At 50.8% G+C, this 15502-nt stretch overlaps 1 protein-coding gene across 1 annotated transcript in view; it reads right to left on the bottom strand.

The window, feature by feature from the left end:
* The window catches only part of RRM2 (ribonucleotide reductase regulatory subunit M2), an 88443-nt gene that overhangs the window by 18927 nt on the left and 54014 nt on the right, over nt 1-15502 (bottom strand). The window lies entirely within an intron of this gene.

Below are 15502 nucleotides of genomic sequence, written 5' to 3'. Positions count from 1 at the left end.
CCCACCCTGGCCTCTGAGCTTGCATCCCTCCACCTCTGGGTGAGTCCCCTCTGGCCTCCATGAAATCCTCAGGAGATGCCGCTTGAGGCCTTACATCAAGTGACAAGACAGCCAGGAGTCGTGTGCAGATTCCTCAAGGGGTCACGGACTCATTCGAGGCCATTTCCCTGTCCTCCTGCCTCCACGCTGTAGGTCCTAAAGTGTGTCCTTGCTGCTCCTGCTGCCAACACCAAACTCCTACCTCCGCAGCAGCCGGGCCCTGGAAAGGCCCACAGCTCCCACGCCAGGTCTGAGATAGCGGGAGCCTCTCACTTATTCCCAGTGCGCATGGCCGTGGCTGCCCGTGTTCCCTCCAGACCCCGCAGGTTAGCCTGGTCAGGAGGGCTGGGTGAGCCCCTGGGTCCTGAGCCCTGGCTGTGGGCTGCTCCTGGTGCTGAGCCTCCCAAACCCAGGAAGGCCCCAATTGCCTTCTCTCCCGCCCCTGCTCCGCTCCAACTCAGAGACTTCCCTTTGTGGGCAGCGGTACCTCCTCTGCCTGTGCACCCAGCTGACAGCACCCATTCCCACTCTGCCCAGCCGCTCACAGGCACAGCCTCTCTGGGTCTCACCCACTGGCTACTCACTGCCACCTGCGCCTCCCAAGCCACAGAGCTAAGTCCCTACCCTCACTGACACTGATCTACTGTGGCACTAAGACCTCTCACAGACGTGATCTTATTAACCTTCCTAAGTGTCATGCAAGGTTTAGAGAGGTCAAGGAGCATGCCAAGGTCACATGGCTCATAAATGTCAGAACCCAGCATTCTGCTGTGACCAAGGCCACGCTGCCCCAAGAGTCTCTCTGCTCCCCTGACAGCCAACCCCTAGGGGCTGATAGGCACAGCTGGGGGGCTCCAGGCACGAGCAGTGTTGAGCAGATGGAAAACAAGCCACACTCCTGACTTCCTTGTCCTCAGCACATCTGGGAAAAAGTTCAGAGGGCAATGCCAGCGTCCTGTGGGGCAAACTGCTCATCTCGCCATGCCTTTGTGCTCCAGAGAAGCCCAGTGGTTTGTTCTTTGTAGGAAAATGTCATAATTAGAATTACTTTCCATCCACAGGTCACAGGTGGGTGGCCACAGTGGAGCTCAGGCAAGAGCAGGTGAGAGACAGAGCTAGAGAAGAGGAAGTGCGCATGGGGACTTATATCACCATCGTCACCATCACCATCATCACTCTCAGCATTGTAACCATCTCTGCCATCACCATCATCACCACCATTATCATCACACTCATCACCACCAACCCCACCATCACCACCACCATTGCCACCATCATTACCACCATCATCGCCAACATCACCACCATCACCGCCAAGATCATCACTCTCAGCATTGTAACCATCTCTGCCATCACCATCATCACCACCATTATCATCACACTCATCACCACCAACCCCACCATCACCACCACCATTGCCACCATCATTACCACCATCATCGCCAACATCACCACCATCACCATGATCATCACCATCATCACCACCACCATCCTCACCACCACCATCAACACCATCATTACCACCGTCATTATTATCACACTTATCACCACCAACCCCACCATCGCCACCACCATCACCATCACCACCATCATCACATCATCATCATCACACTCATCACCACCAACCCCCCCATCACCACCATCACCACCACCATCACCATCACCACATCATCACACTCATCACCACCAACACCATCCTCACCACCATCATCACCACCACCATCACATCATCACACTCATCACCACCAACCCCACCATCACCTCCACCACCACCACCACCATCACCACCACCACCACCATCACCACCATCATCACCATCACTATCATCTCCACCATCATCAGTACCACCACCACCACCATCATAACCATCACCACCACCATCACCACCAATACCACCATCACCACCATCACCATCATCATCACCATCACTATCATCTCCACCATCATCAGTACCATCACCACCACCATCATAACCATCACCACCACCATCACCACCAATACCACCATCACCACCATCACCACCATCATCACCATCATCTCCACCATCATCAGTACCATCACCACCATCATCACCATCACTACCACCATCACCACCATTATCACTATCACCATCATCTCCATTCACCACTTGAAGACCCTCTCGAGGGAAGGGAACAGACACTTCTCAAGTGCCCACTATGTGCCAGGCTCTGGGCCAGGAACTGGAGATGTCAAGATGAATCAGAGTTGACCCTGCCTTCAGGAAGCCCTGGCCCATCTAGTGTCACCATGCCTCATGTAAGACTTTTAAGCACATCATCTGACTTAACCCTCACCCTGTGAGGTCAGTAGTGGTGTTCCCTTGACATGAATGAAAAAACTAGACTAGGAGAGTTGAAGTCCCCTGCCCAGTTTCACACTGCTGCCCACTGTGGGATGGAGGATGGGGCTGTGCTGGGGACTCTAACCAGCCCCTGGCCTGAGCTCCCCCAGACCAAAGAAAGCAGCCACTGTGGTCTGCTTTCAGGCTTCCACCCCAGCAAGGGGCAGGCTGCTGGTGGGCTCATTGGCCTGGCCCAGGCTGAGCTGATGCCACTGCTGGAATACCATCACCTCCAAGCGTGTGCTCTTGCTCCTCCTGCCCTGTGTGGCCTCGTCACTTTGGCTGCCAGTTTCTAAATGGCACTGGCTCGTGGCTGATGAGCCATTCCTGTCTCCTCCGGGGCAGCGCCTCACATTCATCTCCCCTCTAGATCACTTCCACCTGGCTTCAGCCTCCAGAATCAATGCATCTGACTCCCCTGAAGAGCAGGGGCCACTGCCCGCAGGAAGGGAGGGGGCTGGCCCACTCTGCATCCACCTGGAGTGCCCCTTGTGAGCACCTCCTCGGCCAGGTGGGAAGGGCGTGTGTTCTGGGGCCAGACAGTGCCTGTGTTTGAATCTTGAGGCCATGGGCCCTCGCTTAGCCCTCCTGTGCCTCCATTCCCCATTCAAGAACTGGAGGATTACCTGTGTGCCCTCTTTCACCAGTGACTGTGTGGCCTGAGTGATTGATGTGTGGGAGGCAGCAGCATGGCTCTCTGGGCCCTCAGCCAATGCTCCACCAACATCAGCTACATGGGGCGCCGGCGCCTCCCTCCAATGATCCAGCCTCCAAATGCGGCCAGGACTGGGAACTCATGACTTCTGACTTCTCAGACAGAAGCTCCTAGGAGGACACAGGAAGACACACACCACTCTCTCCGCAGCGCCCTCTTCCTAGCTGAGCGCCTGACCCTCTCTTCAGGGGTCTGGTGTGTTTGCAGTGCTGGTGGAGCATTTCAAACACCGGCCCACAAATGCCCCCCATGCCTCGGCCCAAGGCCCCAGGCCCTGGGTCCCAGCTGCCCTTTATCCCCCTCAAGCAGGAAGGTGGCTCATGATGACCCCCTCAGGAGCTGAGAGGCCCAAGGAAACTGAGTGTCCCCCCAAATCCATATGCTGAAGCCCAACTCCTCAACAGGACGTATTTGGAGATGAGGTCTTTAAGGAGGTGATTCATGTGAAATGAGGTCCTAAGGGTGGGACCCTAATCCAGTAGGACTGGTGTCCTTACAAAGGACCACCAGATGAGGGCGAGACTCCAGGGATGCATGGACAGAGAAAGTCCATGTGAGGACACAGCAAGAAGGCGGCCACCTGCTGGCCAGGAAGAGAGGCCCCACTAGAAACTGAGTCTACCAACGCCTTCATTTTAGACTTCCAGACACCAGAACCATGAGACTATATATTCCTGCGGTGTGAGCCCCCATTCTGTGGCCTTCTGCTAGAGCAGCCCGAGCTGACAGACACCGAGGGAGCACCAGACCCCAGGCAGGACCACCGGGCTGCCCACTGCACCCCAGCCACCTGGGCCCTGCTCATACTCACCCAAAGTGGGAGGGGGAAGCCCTGGGGCTGCAGCTCGGGGTCCTCAGGGAAGCAGGCGCAGAGTGTCTCACCCATAAATCATTAGACCAGAGGGTCTCAAACTCGAGGGGCATCGGAACCCCCTAGAGTATGTGTTAACGCACAGATCGCTAGACCCCACCGCCCCGAGTTTCTGATTCAGTCAGTCTAGTGTGGGGCCGGAGAACTTGCATTTCTAGAGTCCCCACAGGAAGCTGATGCTCCCAGGCCAGGGACAGGGACCACACTTTGAGAACCGTGGCATCAGGGAGCATTGGGCAAATGGCCGAATGCTGCAGAAGCAGGAAGCGGATGGCTCTCCTCGCCTTCCTCTGTTCCCAACCGAATCATGGTGCTGGAGGACAGCAGAGGTGAGAAGGGGCCTGAACCTGCCCAGCCGCTGTGGTGTGGCTCAGCCCGGCCCATCTGCAGGGCAAGCCCAAGAGGTAGGCACCACAATCCCTGTTTTACACACAAGGAAGGCTGGGCTCAGAGTAAAAAAGTGCCAGGGCCACCAAGATCCACATGGGGCCAGATCCCCTGCCTTTCCCTTCTCTCAGTGACCCCCACACAGACCTGGACACACAGAGCCAGCCCCAGGCCTCAGAGCGTCCACATCTCCCCCAGGGCCACTGCTGAAAACAAGACAGCTGCGGGGAGACGCAGAAAAAGCCTCTCTCACTGCACAGTTGGCCCCGGGCCACCTTCTCCTTCCAGGTGCCTGCAGTTGGAGAATGGCTGTAGTATCTTACCATCACCTGATGCAGCTCCCACGCCCCCTCTGAGCCTGCGGCACCGTGGCAGAGGTAGGAAGGAGGGTCCTGCTACCGAGCCCTGCGTGACCGGTTTCCATGACAACTGGGCTGCAGCTATCCAGAAGGACAATTAACCTCAGAGCTGATCTTCCTGCGGGACCCTTCTGCTGGGTAGAGAGGAGCGGCCCCAGCAGCATCAGGGAACAAGGGAGAGGCTGGGCCCAGCCCCTGGGTCATTCCTTGTCTGAGAGCCCTCAGTGACCAGCACTCCGGCAGGAAACGCCATGCAGCGCTGGCAAGGACCAGGAGGCTGGGCAAAGGCCCCACAGAGCGGGGCTGCACGTGGGCCTCGGGGGCACCGGCACCAGCCCCGCACGCACCTCCTCTGAGCCCCCCTTCGGGGGACTCCTGGGCACCAGAGCTCCTGGGTCCTTGTCCTGGCCCTGCCAACTTGGATGGTTCAGCGCTCAGCCTCACTGGGACCTGAGAGCATGGAGCACAGAAGACGTGTCCCCAAGCCCCCAATCTGTGGAGGTGGGGCCTGGCTCCATGTGAGGGGAGGGGTAGTGGCTGAGGTCCAGCCAATCCCTTGGCCCCACCCTGCTTCAGGCAGGGGTGGTAAGTAATAAGTGGTAAGTAAGTTCGCTGAGCACTTACTATGTGCTAAGCAGGACCTACGCTAAGTCCCTTCCATGTATTTGATGCCAGGAAATCTCTCGACCACTGCTCAACTATGAGACCCATTCAGCAGATGAACAGCAGAGGCACAGAGGGGTTAGAGGGCATTGACCCCAGGCAGGCTGGTCTCAGCGTCTGCTCCTGTGGACCTGCAGGTCTCTGCTTTTAACTGTTGTACACACTACGGTTCACCAGGCTTTGGCTAGGAAAAGAATGAATCTGCTTCCGAAACCAGTTTGAAAACCACTGCTGGCCGGGCACGGTGGCTCACGCCTGTAATCCCAGCACTTTGGGAGGCCGAGGTGGGTGGATCACGAGGTCAGGAAATCGAGACCATCCTGGCCAACACGGTGAAACTCCGTCTCTACTAAAAATACAAAAAAAAAAAAAATTAGCTGGGCATGGCGGTGCGCGCCTGTAATCCCAGCTACTCGGGATGCTGAGGCAGGAGAATTGCCTCAGAAAAAAGAAAACCACTGCTATGGTCCACACTTCCCCACTTCACAGAGATGGAAACTGGGGCTCTAAAAGGTAAAATGGCTCATCCAAAATCACACAGCTCTAAGTCAATATATCAAAAGGCCAATTCAGTCAATGTGTTCATTGATTATAACAACTGATACAAGTTTACAGTGATCCATAATGGAGGGATTTCTTTTTTAAAGATATTGAAGATTTCTGCCGAATTTAGGCTAGCTCTTCTCCACTGGACTTCATAACAACATTCAAAGTATGCTGGACCTGCCTCTGTCCAGCAGCCTACTGCTTCAGCTAGGAGAAACAGTCAAGGAGAGAGAACCTCGGCACGAGGAAGGACAGAAAGGAGGGTCAGCTCAGCAGGGGCTGCACTGCCCCATCTTCGGTCACCCAGAAGATGAGACTGAGGGTCAGAGTAGAGATTTGGAGTTTAGGGGAGACTGGGGAGAACAGAGAGGGGAGGTGAAGGGTGGGGGAAAGGAGACAAAGGGACAGAGAGAGGAGTTTGAAAGGCAAGGAAGGGGAGACACAGGGGCACAAAAAATATACATTTGTAAGAATTTCTCATCCTCAAGAATATGTTCAAGAGTATTTTCAAGAATGTATCCAGTACACTTGAGAACAGAGTCATATGGAATTCGATGGCTAAAATCACCTTAAAACCATCCGGATTTGGGAGAGGAGTGAATGGGTGGGGAAAAGGCTGAGACAAGACTGGCCACATATGGACCTCTGTTGACACTGATGTCGCACGCTGGGCTTTTCTATTATTCTATTTTTGCCTATGTTCAAAGTTTCCCATTATAAAAAAGTCTTTTAAAGTATGTAGTCAATATATTCCAGAATTTTTAAATGAATAGTTTTTGAATATAGTTTTGAATATATTAATGAATCGATGCCGTCTGTCTCCCTCCCACGCTCAGCCTCTCCTGCCTCTCTCTCTCTCTCTCACTCTCACGCTCTGTCTCGCTTTCACGCTCTCTCTCTGTCTCTTGTCCTGGAGTCAGCAGCCAAAATTAACAGCTGCATACTGATTCTCCTCTGCGTGGAGGAAATCCAAAGCATTTGTTAAAATACTGATACAAAAGGGAAAATAAGCATTAGTCAAACAAAACATCACAGAAATCTTCCAAATCTACCGCATCCTACAGGATTTGCTATAAATATTCATTTTTATAAATAGATCAAAGAAACCAGTAAATAGAATGACTTGTTCATTTGTCAGATTGGCTTTGGGTTAGTGCTGCTCTGGGCATGCTGGTGCACAGGGCAGAGACGGGTCTGAAACCCAAGTCTTCCATCTTCAGACCTGTGCTCTTCTAAACCCACAAACACTCTACAGGATCAAAGTCAAGTTGCAAGAATCTTTCTTAAGGCAGTCTCCTCCCTTTCTGACTCAGTTTCCCCATCTGCACAAGAAGTGGATGGTTGAGATGTTCATGGAGCTCCTCCCAGACCAGGGTGGTGACACTTCCAGGGACAGTTGGTGTTACTGGATTCAGGGCCATTCTGGGCCTGCCCCAAACCCATGGAGACCGAGAGACCTCATGTCTCCCCTCAGCTGTGCATGGAGCCATGAAGGAGAACAAGGGGCCGGGAGGCAGCTGCAAGGAGGCCTCAGCCCCATGCCAGGCGGGTGCTGCCTCTGTCCCGCCTGCCCCAGGCCTCAAAGGGCCTGCCATGTGGGCCTCTTCTGGAAGGGACGGTTTGGACCAACAGTCCCAGTTTGCCCAGGACTCAGGGCCTCCCACAACGTGAGACTTTCATTGCTTTTGTGGTTTTCAATGCTAAAAACAGGACCATCCCAGCCAACCTGAGCCAAGTTGGTCCCCCCACTCCCAGGAGAGTTGGCTACGCAAATTTTTAGTAAAGAGGAATATCGGAAGGGAAGGAAGTTTTGTTTTGATTTCCCAGCTTTGGGAGAAAAGAAAAGAAGGGATTGCTTATGAACTGCAAGCCCCCTGATGAAACAGCAAACTACCAGGCCGGTGCTGGTCCAAGATCTAATGGCAGGATGTTTGCAGTCCTGATGTTACCAAGCTTTGTCTCCCCAAGCCAGAAAAGGCAGTGGAGCCGGGGCTAGGAACCCTGCTGCCCTGCTTTTTTGCTTTTTTTTTTTTTTTTTTTTTTTTTTTTTAGATGGAGTCTCGCTCTGTCACCCAGGCTGTAGTGCAGTGGTGCGATCTTGGCTCACTGTAAGCTCCACCTCCTGGGTTCACGCCATTCTCCTGCCTCAGCCTCCCCAGTAGCTGGGACTACAGGCGCCTGCCATCACGCCTGGCTGATTTTGTTTTTGTATTTTTAGTAGAGACAGGGTTTCACCATGTTGGGCAGGATGGTCTCGATCTCCTGACGTCATGATCCGCCCGCCTCGGCCTCCCAAAGTGCTGGGATTACAGGCGTGAGCCACCGCACCTGGCCTTTTTTTTTTTTTGAAACAGAGTCTCACTCCGTCACCCAGGCTGGAGTGCGGTGGCGCAATCTCAGCTCACTGCAGCCTCCAGGGACGTGCCATCATGCCCAGCTAATTTTTTTATTTTTAGTAGAGACAGGGATTTGCCATTTTGGCCAGGCTGGTCTCGAGCTCCTGACCTCAAGTGATCTGCCCACCTTGGCCTCCCAAAATGCTGGGATTACAGGCATAAGCCACCATACCCAGCCAGAACCCTGCTTCTCTGAATGAATCAGCCACAGAGCAACAGAGGTCTGCTGTGATCGGAATCAAGGAAAATGACCTTGCCATGGAGGGGCAGGCAGCCAGGAGGGGATGAGCCGGGCTGGCCCAAAGGGCTCTTGCCACTGTTGACTCTGTCACAGGCTTCTTATTGGATGTTGCCCAGACACCTGCCTCCACCCCTCCAGTGTCCCAGAGGCTCGGAGCCCAGTCCCACAGGTCTCAGAGGGGTCAGATGGCACATCAGCCCCGTGAGTCCTGAGGGACATAAAATCCTTAGGCCCAGATGTGGCTAGTAAGTGCTGGGTAGCCAGTGCTGCCGCTCTTTGGCCATGCTCTCAATGCTCACGCCTCTCCTCCTTCTATTTATTTTGTTTTGTTTTAGAGACAGAGTCTTGCTCTGTGGCCCAGGCTGGAGTGCAGTGGTGCCATCATAGTTCGCTGCAGTCTCGAATTCCAGGGCTCAAGCCATCCTCCCGCCTTAGCCTCCCAAGTAGCTGGGTACGCGCCACCATACCTGGCTCATTTTTGTAATTTTTGTAGAGACAGGGTCTTCCTAATGTTGCTCAGACTGGTCTCCAACTCCTGGGCTCAAGCAGTCCTCCCACCTCGGCCTCTCAAAGTGTTGGGATCACAGGTATGAACCATTACACCCAGCCACTCTCCCACTTTTAAAAGAGTCTGCGTTTGAGTGGCCATTTATTTCCTTGCATGGATGTGTTGGCTGTTTCCCCTAACCTGAGCTACCCTGGAGGGAAGGACACTGGACAAAAGGATGTCACGGTGATGACCTGGGAGGGAGAGGAGCGACTTGGCAACCATTTGCTTCAAACCACTGATATGTAGCTGCCGGTCCTCATGGCTCATCCTATTAAGGACTAGCTGCTAAATTCTTAACCCAATTTTTAATTTTTATTTTTTAGAGATGAGGCCTTGCTATGTTGCTCAGGCTAGCCTCGAACTCCTTGGGCTGAAGCGATCCCCTCACCTCCACTTCCTGAGTAGCTGGGACTAGCGTCCAGCTTCTTAGCCCAACTTCAATTAAAACTGTGTATATTTATTTTTTAGGGCTGCTGTGACAAATTACCACAAACTCAGTGGCTTAAAACGACCTGTGAGAAATAATTGTTTCTAGACCACCTAGTTCATAGTTTTGTTTTTTGTGGGATTTTTTTTGGGTTTTTTTTTGTTTGTTTGTTTGTTTGTTTTGAGACAGAGTCTTCCTCTGTCGTCCAGGCTGCTAGGCTGGAGTGCAGTGGAACTATCTCAGCTCACTGCAACCTCCGCCTCCCGGGTTTAAGCAATTCTCCTGCCTCAGCCTCCCAAGTAGCTGGGATTACAGACATGTACCACCACACCCAGCCAGTCTCTGTATTTTTAGTAGAGACAGTGTTTCACCATGTCGGCCAGGCTGGTCTCAAACTGATCCTGGGGGAGGGACAGACATGAAAATGATTTGCTCAATGTCAGAAAAGAGTATCATAAAAAGAGCCAGGCACAGTGGCTCACACCTATAATCCCAGCACTTTGGGAGGCTGAGGAATGAGGATTGCTTGAACCTACGAGTTCAAGACCAGCCTGGGCAACATAGTGAGACTTTATCTCTACAATTTTTTTTTTAAATTAGCTGCATGTGGTGGCTCACTCCTGTAGTCCCAGCTACTCGGGAGGCTGAGGTGAGAGGATCCCTTGAGCCCTGGAGGTCAAGGCTGCAGTGAGCCATGATCGCAACACTGCACTCCAGCCTGAGTGACAGAGCTGAGACCCTGTCTTAAAAAAAAAAAAAAAAAAAAAAAAAAAGAGAGAGAGAGAGAGAGCTGTGCAGTCTGTCAGATTGAGCACAATCCCACCTGGACATCACCAGGAAAATCGGAAAATATTTTCAATGGAATAATAAACTCCTACAATCAAAACTTGTATGTGCAGGGATGCAACCAAAGCAGTACTCAGAGGGAAATTTCTAGCCTGAAATGCTTGCCTGAGCCCAGGAGTTCAAGACCAGCCTGAACTGGAGAAAGGAGGAATGATTAAAAACAAATGCACTAAGATCTATCTCAAGAAATTACAAAAGGAACAGCAAAATAAATCCTAAGCAAGCAGGACTAGAAATAAAAATACACATGTAATGAACTAAGAAACAGAGACAATCAACGAAACCTAAAGTTGGTTCCTTGAAAAGGCTGCAAAAACTAATACATTTCTGGTGAGAATGATTGAGAAGAAAAGGGATGACAATTGCTACCATCCTGCAGGCAAATTGCAATATGCTGCCTCTTGCTAGCTGCATGTCTTTGGGCAAATTAATTAACCACTCTAAGCCTGTTTCCTCATCTTAAAATTGAGAAATAGAATATCTGCCTCACTGGCTATTATGAGAATTAAATGAGATAGTGTGAGTTAAGTGTCCAGCAGAGAATACAAACTATATAAATCATACTAGTTATGATCACAGTGGTGGTGGTTATCAATACTCTAAAGTGCCACAGGGGGCTGGGTGCGGTGGCTCACACCTGTAATCCCAGCACTTTGGGAGGCTGAGGCAGGTAGATGACCTGAGGTCAGAAGTTCAAGACCAGCCTGGCCAACATGTTGAAACCCCATCTCTACTAAAAATACAAAAATCAGCCAGACATGGTGGTGCGTGCCTGCAGTCCTAACTACTCGGGAGGCAGAGGCACAAGAATCGCTTGAACCTGGGAGGCAGAGGTTGCAGTGAGCCATAATCATGCCACTGCACTCCAGCCTAGCGACAGAGTGAGACTCCGTCTCATCTCAAAAAAATAAATAAATAAATAAATAAAAATAAAGTGTTACAGGGGGAACAGAGAGGGAGGATGACTTCCTGCCCTGGCAGGTGACAGGGAGGAGATGATTTCTAAGCCCTAAAGGATGGAGAGGGCTTCATAGAAGAAGAGAAAGAAGGACCATCCAGGCTGAGAGCCTAGTGAGCAGGAGGCAGGAGCCCTGGAGGCCTGAGGTTCATCCAGAGGGGAGAAGGGGCCAACCACGAGTGCCAAGGCCCTCGTGGGCCTCTCTGAGGCAGTGGCTGACATTTGATGCCAATGTTGAAAACATAAATGGGCCTGGCCCGCAGCCTTCATGCATTATGCAGCGAGGGTGAATAATGAATGACTTGGAATTTTTTTTAACCATTTGGTCACAGATTTCTCTCCAGGGTGACGGAAATACAATGGCCATGCCCAGCCTGTCTGTGTAGTTCACAGAATGATTTAGTTATAATAACCTCCAGGCTCACAGCGAAGTTATTTTCTGCTGGAAGCAAGTGAACAAGTCTTCACCAGACCAAGCCAGCTTCCCCCAGGACGAAGAGGTTCTCTCAGGACTGTTTATTTTCTCAAAAGCCTCTGTCTACATGACAGGGACACCCTCAGGTAAAGAGCTCCCAGTATGTCCGGAGCCAGATGTGTTAGGCTGTAAGCCTCAGCTGAGACCCAGACCTCCTCTGGGGGAAGGGAGCCGTGGGATGGCATTAACCTCTGCTCAGCATGAGGGCTCCATCATCCCACAGGAAAGTCATTGGTGGGGCCGCTCTCACAGAGAGGTGGCTCTGGGTGGAGGGCTTCCCGAGGAGGTGGCTCTAGAGCTGGATTAGACAGAGGGAAGCTCTAATCCCCAAAAATAAGGGGTATGGAGGTCCCCAGAATGTCATAATAATAAAGGCTTCAGAAAACGTTTGCATCAGAATATGTAACTGGCAGAGTAACCTATGACCCTGAGCTCCTCTAAAAATACTGACAATCCCTGGCTTATGATGGTTCAACTCAGGATTTTTTGACTTTATGATGGTGTGAAAGTGATACACATTCAATAGAAACTGTACTTCCCTCACAGTGCTGGACAGAGGCAGAGAGATGCAGCTCCCACTCAGCCACGCTGCCAATTTACAATGGGTTCGTCGGGAAGTAACCATGTTGTGAGTCAAGAAGCATCTGAAGTTATGAGGCAAATACCACACAACCCAGCAACTGCATTTTTGTGTGAATGTAAGTTCACAAAAGAATCTATACACTAGTCTCCATAGCAGCTTTACTAAAGCAGGCAAATACTGGTAGCACTCAAATGTCCTTTTAAGGGTGAATGTCAGGCCAGGTGTGGTGGCTCACATCTGTAATCCCAGCACTTTGGGAGGCCGAGGCGGGTGGATGCCCTAGGTCGGGAGTTTGAGACCAGCCTGGCCAACGTGGTGAAACCCTGTCTCTACTAAAAATACAAAAATTAGCCGGGCGTGGTGGCATGTGGCTGTAATCCCAGCTACTTGGGAGGCTGAGGCATGAGAATAGCTGAACCCAGGAGGTGGAGGTTGCGGTGAGCTGAGATCGCGCCACTACACTGCAGCCTTGGTGACAGAGTGAGACTCTGTCTCAAAACAAACAAACAAAAAAAGGATGAATGCCAGACATACTGCGGTATGTCCAAATCCAGAAACACCACTCAGTAACGAAAAGAATAAATCATCGGTACACAGTGTCTTAGTCTGTTCCAGCTGCTATAACAAAATACCCTAGACTGCATAATTTATAAAGAGCAGAAACTTATTGCTCACAGCTCTGGAGGCTGGGAAGTCCAAGATCAAGGTGCCAGCAGAATCGGTGTCTGTTGAGGGCTCTCTGATTCATAGACGGCAGTTTGTTGCTGTGTCCTCACGTGGTTAAAGGGGCAGTGGCACTCCCTTCACCTCTCTTATAAGGGCATTAATCCTACTCATGAGGTCACAGCCCTCGTGACTTAATCACTTCCCAAAGGTCCCACCTCTTAAAACTATTATATTGGGTGTGAGATTCCAACATATGAATTTAGGAGGGCACCAACATTCAAATCACAGCACACAGCAACCTGGATGACTCTCCAGAGAACTATGCCGACTGCAAAAAGCCAATCCCAAAAGGTTACTAGTTGCTTGATTCCATGTACAGACCATTCTTATGGTGACAAAGGTATAAAGATGGAGAACAGATTGGTGGTTGCCAGAGGCTGGGGGTAGATGATTGTGTTAGAAACAAACAGGAGGGGTGGCCAGGCACAGTGGCTCATGCCTGTAATTCCAGCACTTTGGGAGGCCGAGACAGGTGGATTACCTGAGGTCAGGAGTTCGAGACCAGTCTGGTCGACATGGTGAAACTCTGTCTCTACTAAAAATACAAAAATTAGCCAGGCATGGTGGCAGGTGCCTGTAGTCCCAGCTACTTGGGAGGCTGAGGCGGGAGAATTGCTTGAACCCAGGAGGTGGAGGTTGCAGTGAGCTGAGATGGTGCCATTGCACTCCAGTCTGGGCAACACAGTGAGACTTCACATTAAAAAAAAAAAAAAAAAGCCTGCACGGTGGCTCACGCCTGTAATCCCAGGACTTTGGGAGGCCGAGGCAGGCAGATCACGAGGTCAGGAGATTGAGACCATCCTGGCTAACACGGTGAAACCCCGTCTCTACTACGAATACGAAAAAAAAAATTAGCCGGGCGTGTTGGTGGGCACCTGTAGTCCCAGCTGCTCAGGAGGCTGAGGCAGGAGAATGGCGTGAACCTGGGAGGCGGAGCTTGCAGTGAGCCGAGATCGCGCCACTGCACTCCAGCCTGGGTGACAGAGCGAGACTCCGTCTAAAGAAAAAAAAAAAAAAAGCTTGAGCGCAGTGGCTCATGCCTGTAATCCCAGCACTTTGTGAGGCTGAGGCGGGTGGATCACCTTAAGTCAGAAGTTCGAGACCAGCCTGGTCAACATAGTGAAGCCTCATCTCCAGTAAAAATACAAAAATTAAACAGACGTGATGGCGCATGCCTGTAATCTCAGCTAGAAAGAAAGAAAGAGAGAGAGAGGGAGGGAGGGAGGGAGAGAGGAAGGAAGGAAGGAAGGAAGGAAGGAAGGAAGGAAGGAAGGAAAAGGAAAGAAGCAAACAGGAGGGATCCTTGTAGCATTGGAACTGTGGTGGTGGACCCACAAATATGTGCAGGTGATAAAAGTGTGTAGAACTAGAGGAACACACACACACGAATGGATGCAAAGGAAGCTAGGGAGATCTGAGGACATTGAATCAACATCAATATAGTTATTATGATATTGCCTTTAGGTTCACAAGATGTTACCACAGGAGAAAAGGGTACAAGGTGCACTGAATCTCTCTGTGTTACTCCATACAACTACATGGGAATCTATCATTATCTCAAAATAAAAGTTCTAACTTAAAAATAGTAATGATTTAATGTTAAGTGAAAAAGGCAGACCTCAAAACTTTATGTGATGATCAGTACCATATTTTTTTTTATTCTATTTTATTCTATTATTTTATTTTATTTTATTGAAGCGAAATCTCGCTCTGTCGCCCAGGCTGGAGTGCAATGGTGCGATCTTGGTTCACCGCAACCTTCAACTCCCGGGTTCAAGCGATTCTCCTACCTCAACCTCCAGAGTAGCTGGGATTACAGATGCCCACCATCACGCCCAGCTAATTTTTGTATTTTTAGTAAAGATGGGGTTTCACTGTGTTGGTCAGGCTGGTCTCAAACTCCTGACCTCAGGTGATCCACCCGCCTCGGCCTCCCAAAATGCTGGGATTACCGGCATGAGCCACTGTACCCGGCTCAATCAGTACTATTTTAAAGACATCAAAATTTACACCTAATATCTACTAAAGTGAAACAATTGCCTACCCTATGACCCAGCAATTCCATTCCCAAATATACCCACAGGAGAAACAGGTGCCTATGACCACCAGAAAATGTGTACAAGACGGTTAATGACAGCATTATTCATAATAGCCACAGTGGGCAACAATCCAAATGTCCATCAATAGGGGAATTAATAGATTGTGTTTTGTTCATACAATGGAATCCTTAACACAGCAATTATAAAGAAACAAACTTGTGCTGTACACATTGATGAATCTCCCTGACCAATATTAAGCAAAAGAAACCAGATACAAAATGTAAAATGATGCAGCCACTGTGGAAAACAGTGTGGTGGT

Source organism: Homo sapiens, chromosome 2, assembly GCF_000001405.40.
Source record: "Homo sapiens chromosome 2, GRCh38.p14 Primary Assembly".
Lineage (NCBI taxonomy): Eukaryota > Metazoa > Chordata > Mammalia > Primates > Hominidae > Homo > Homo sapiens.
Note: the sequence above shows the minus strand (reverse complement) of the source record. Positions and strands in the feature narration are given on the sequence as shown.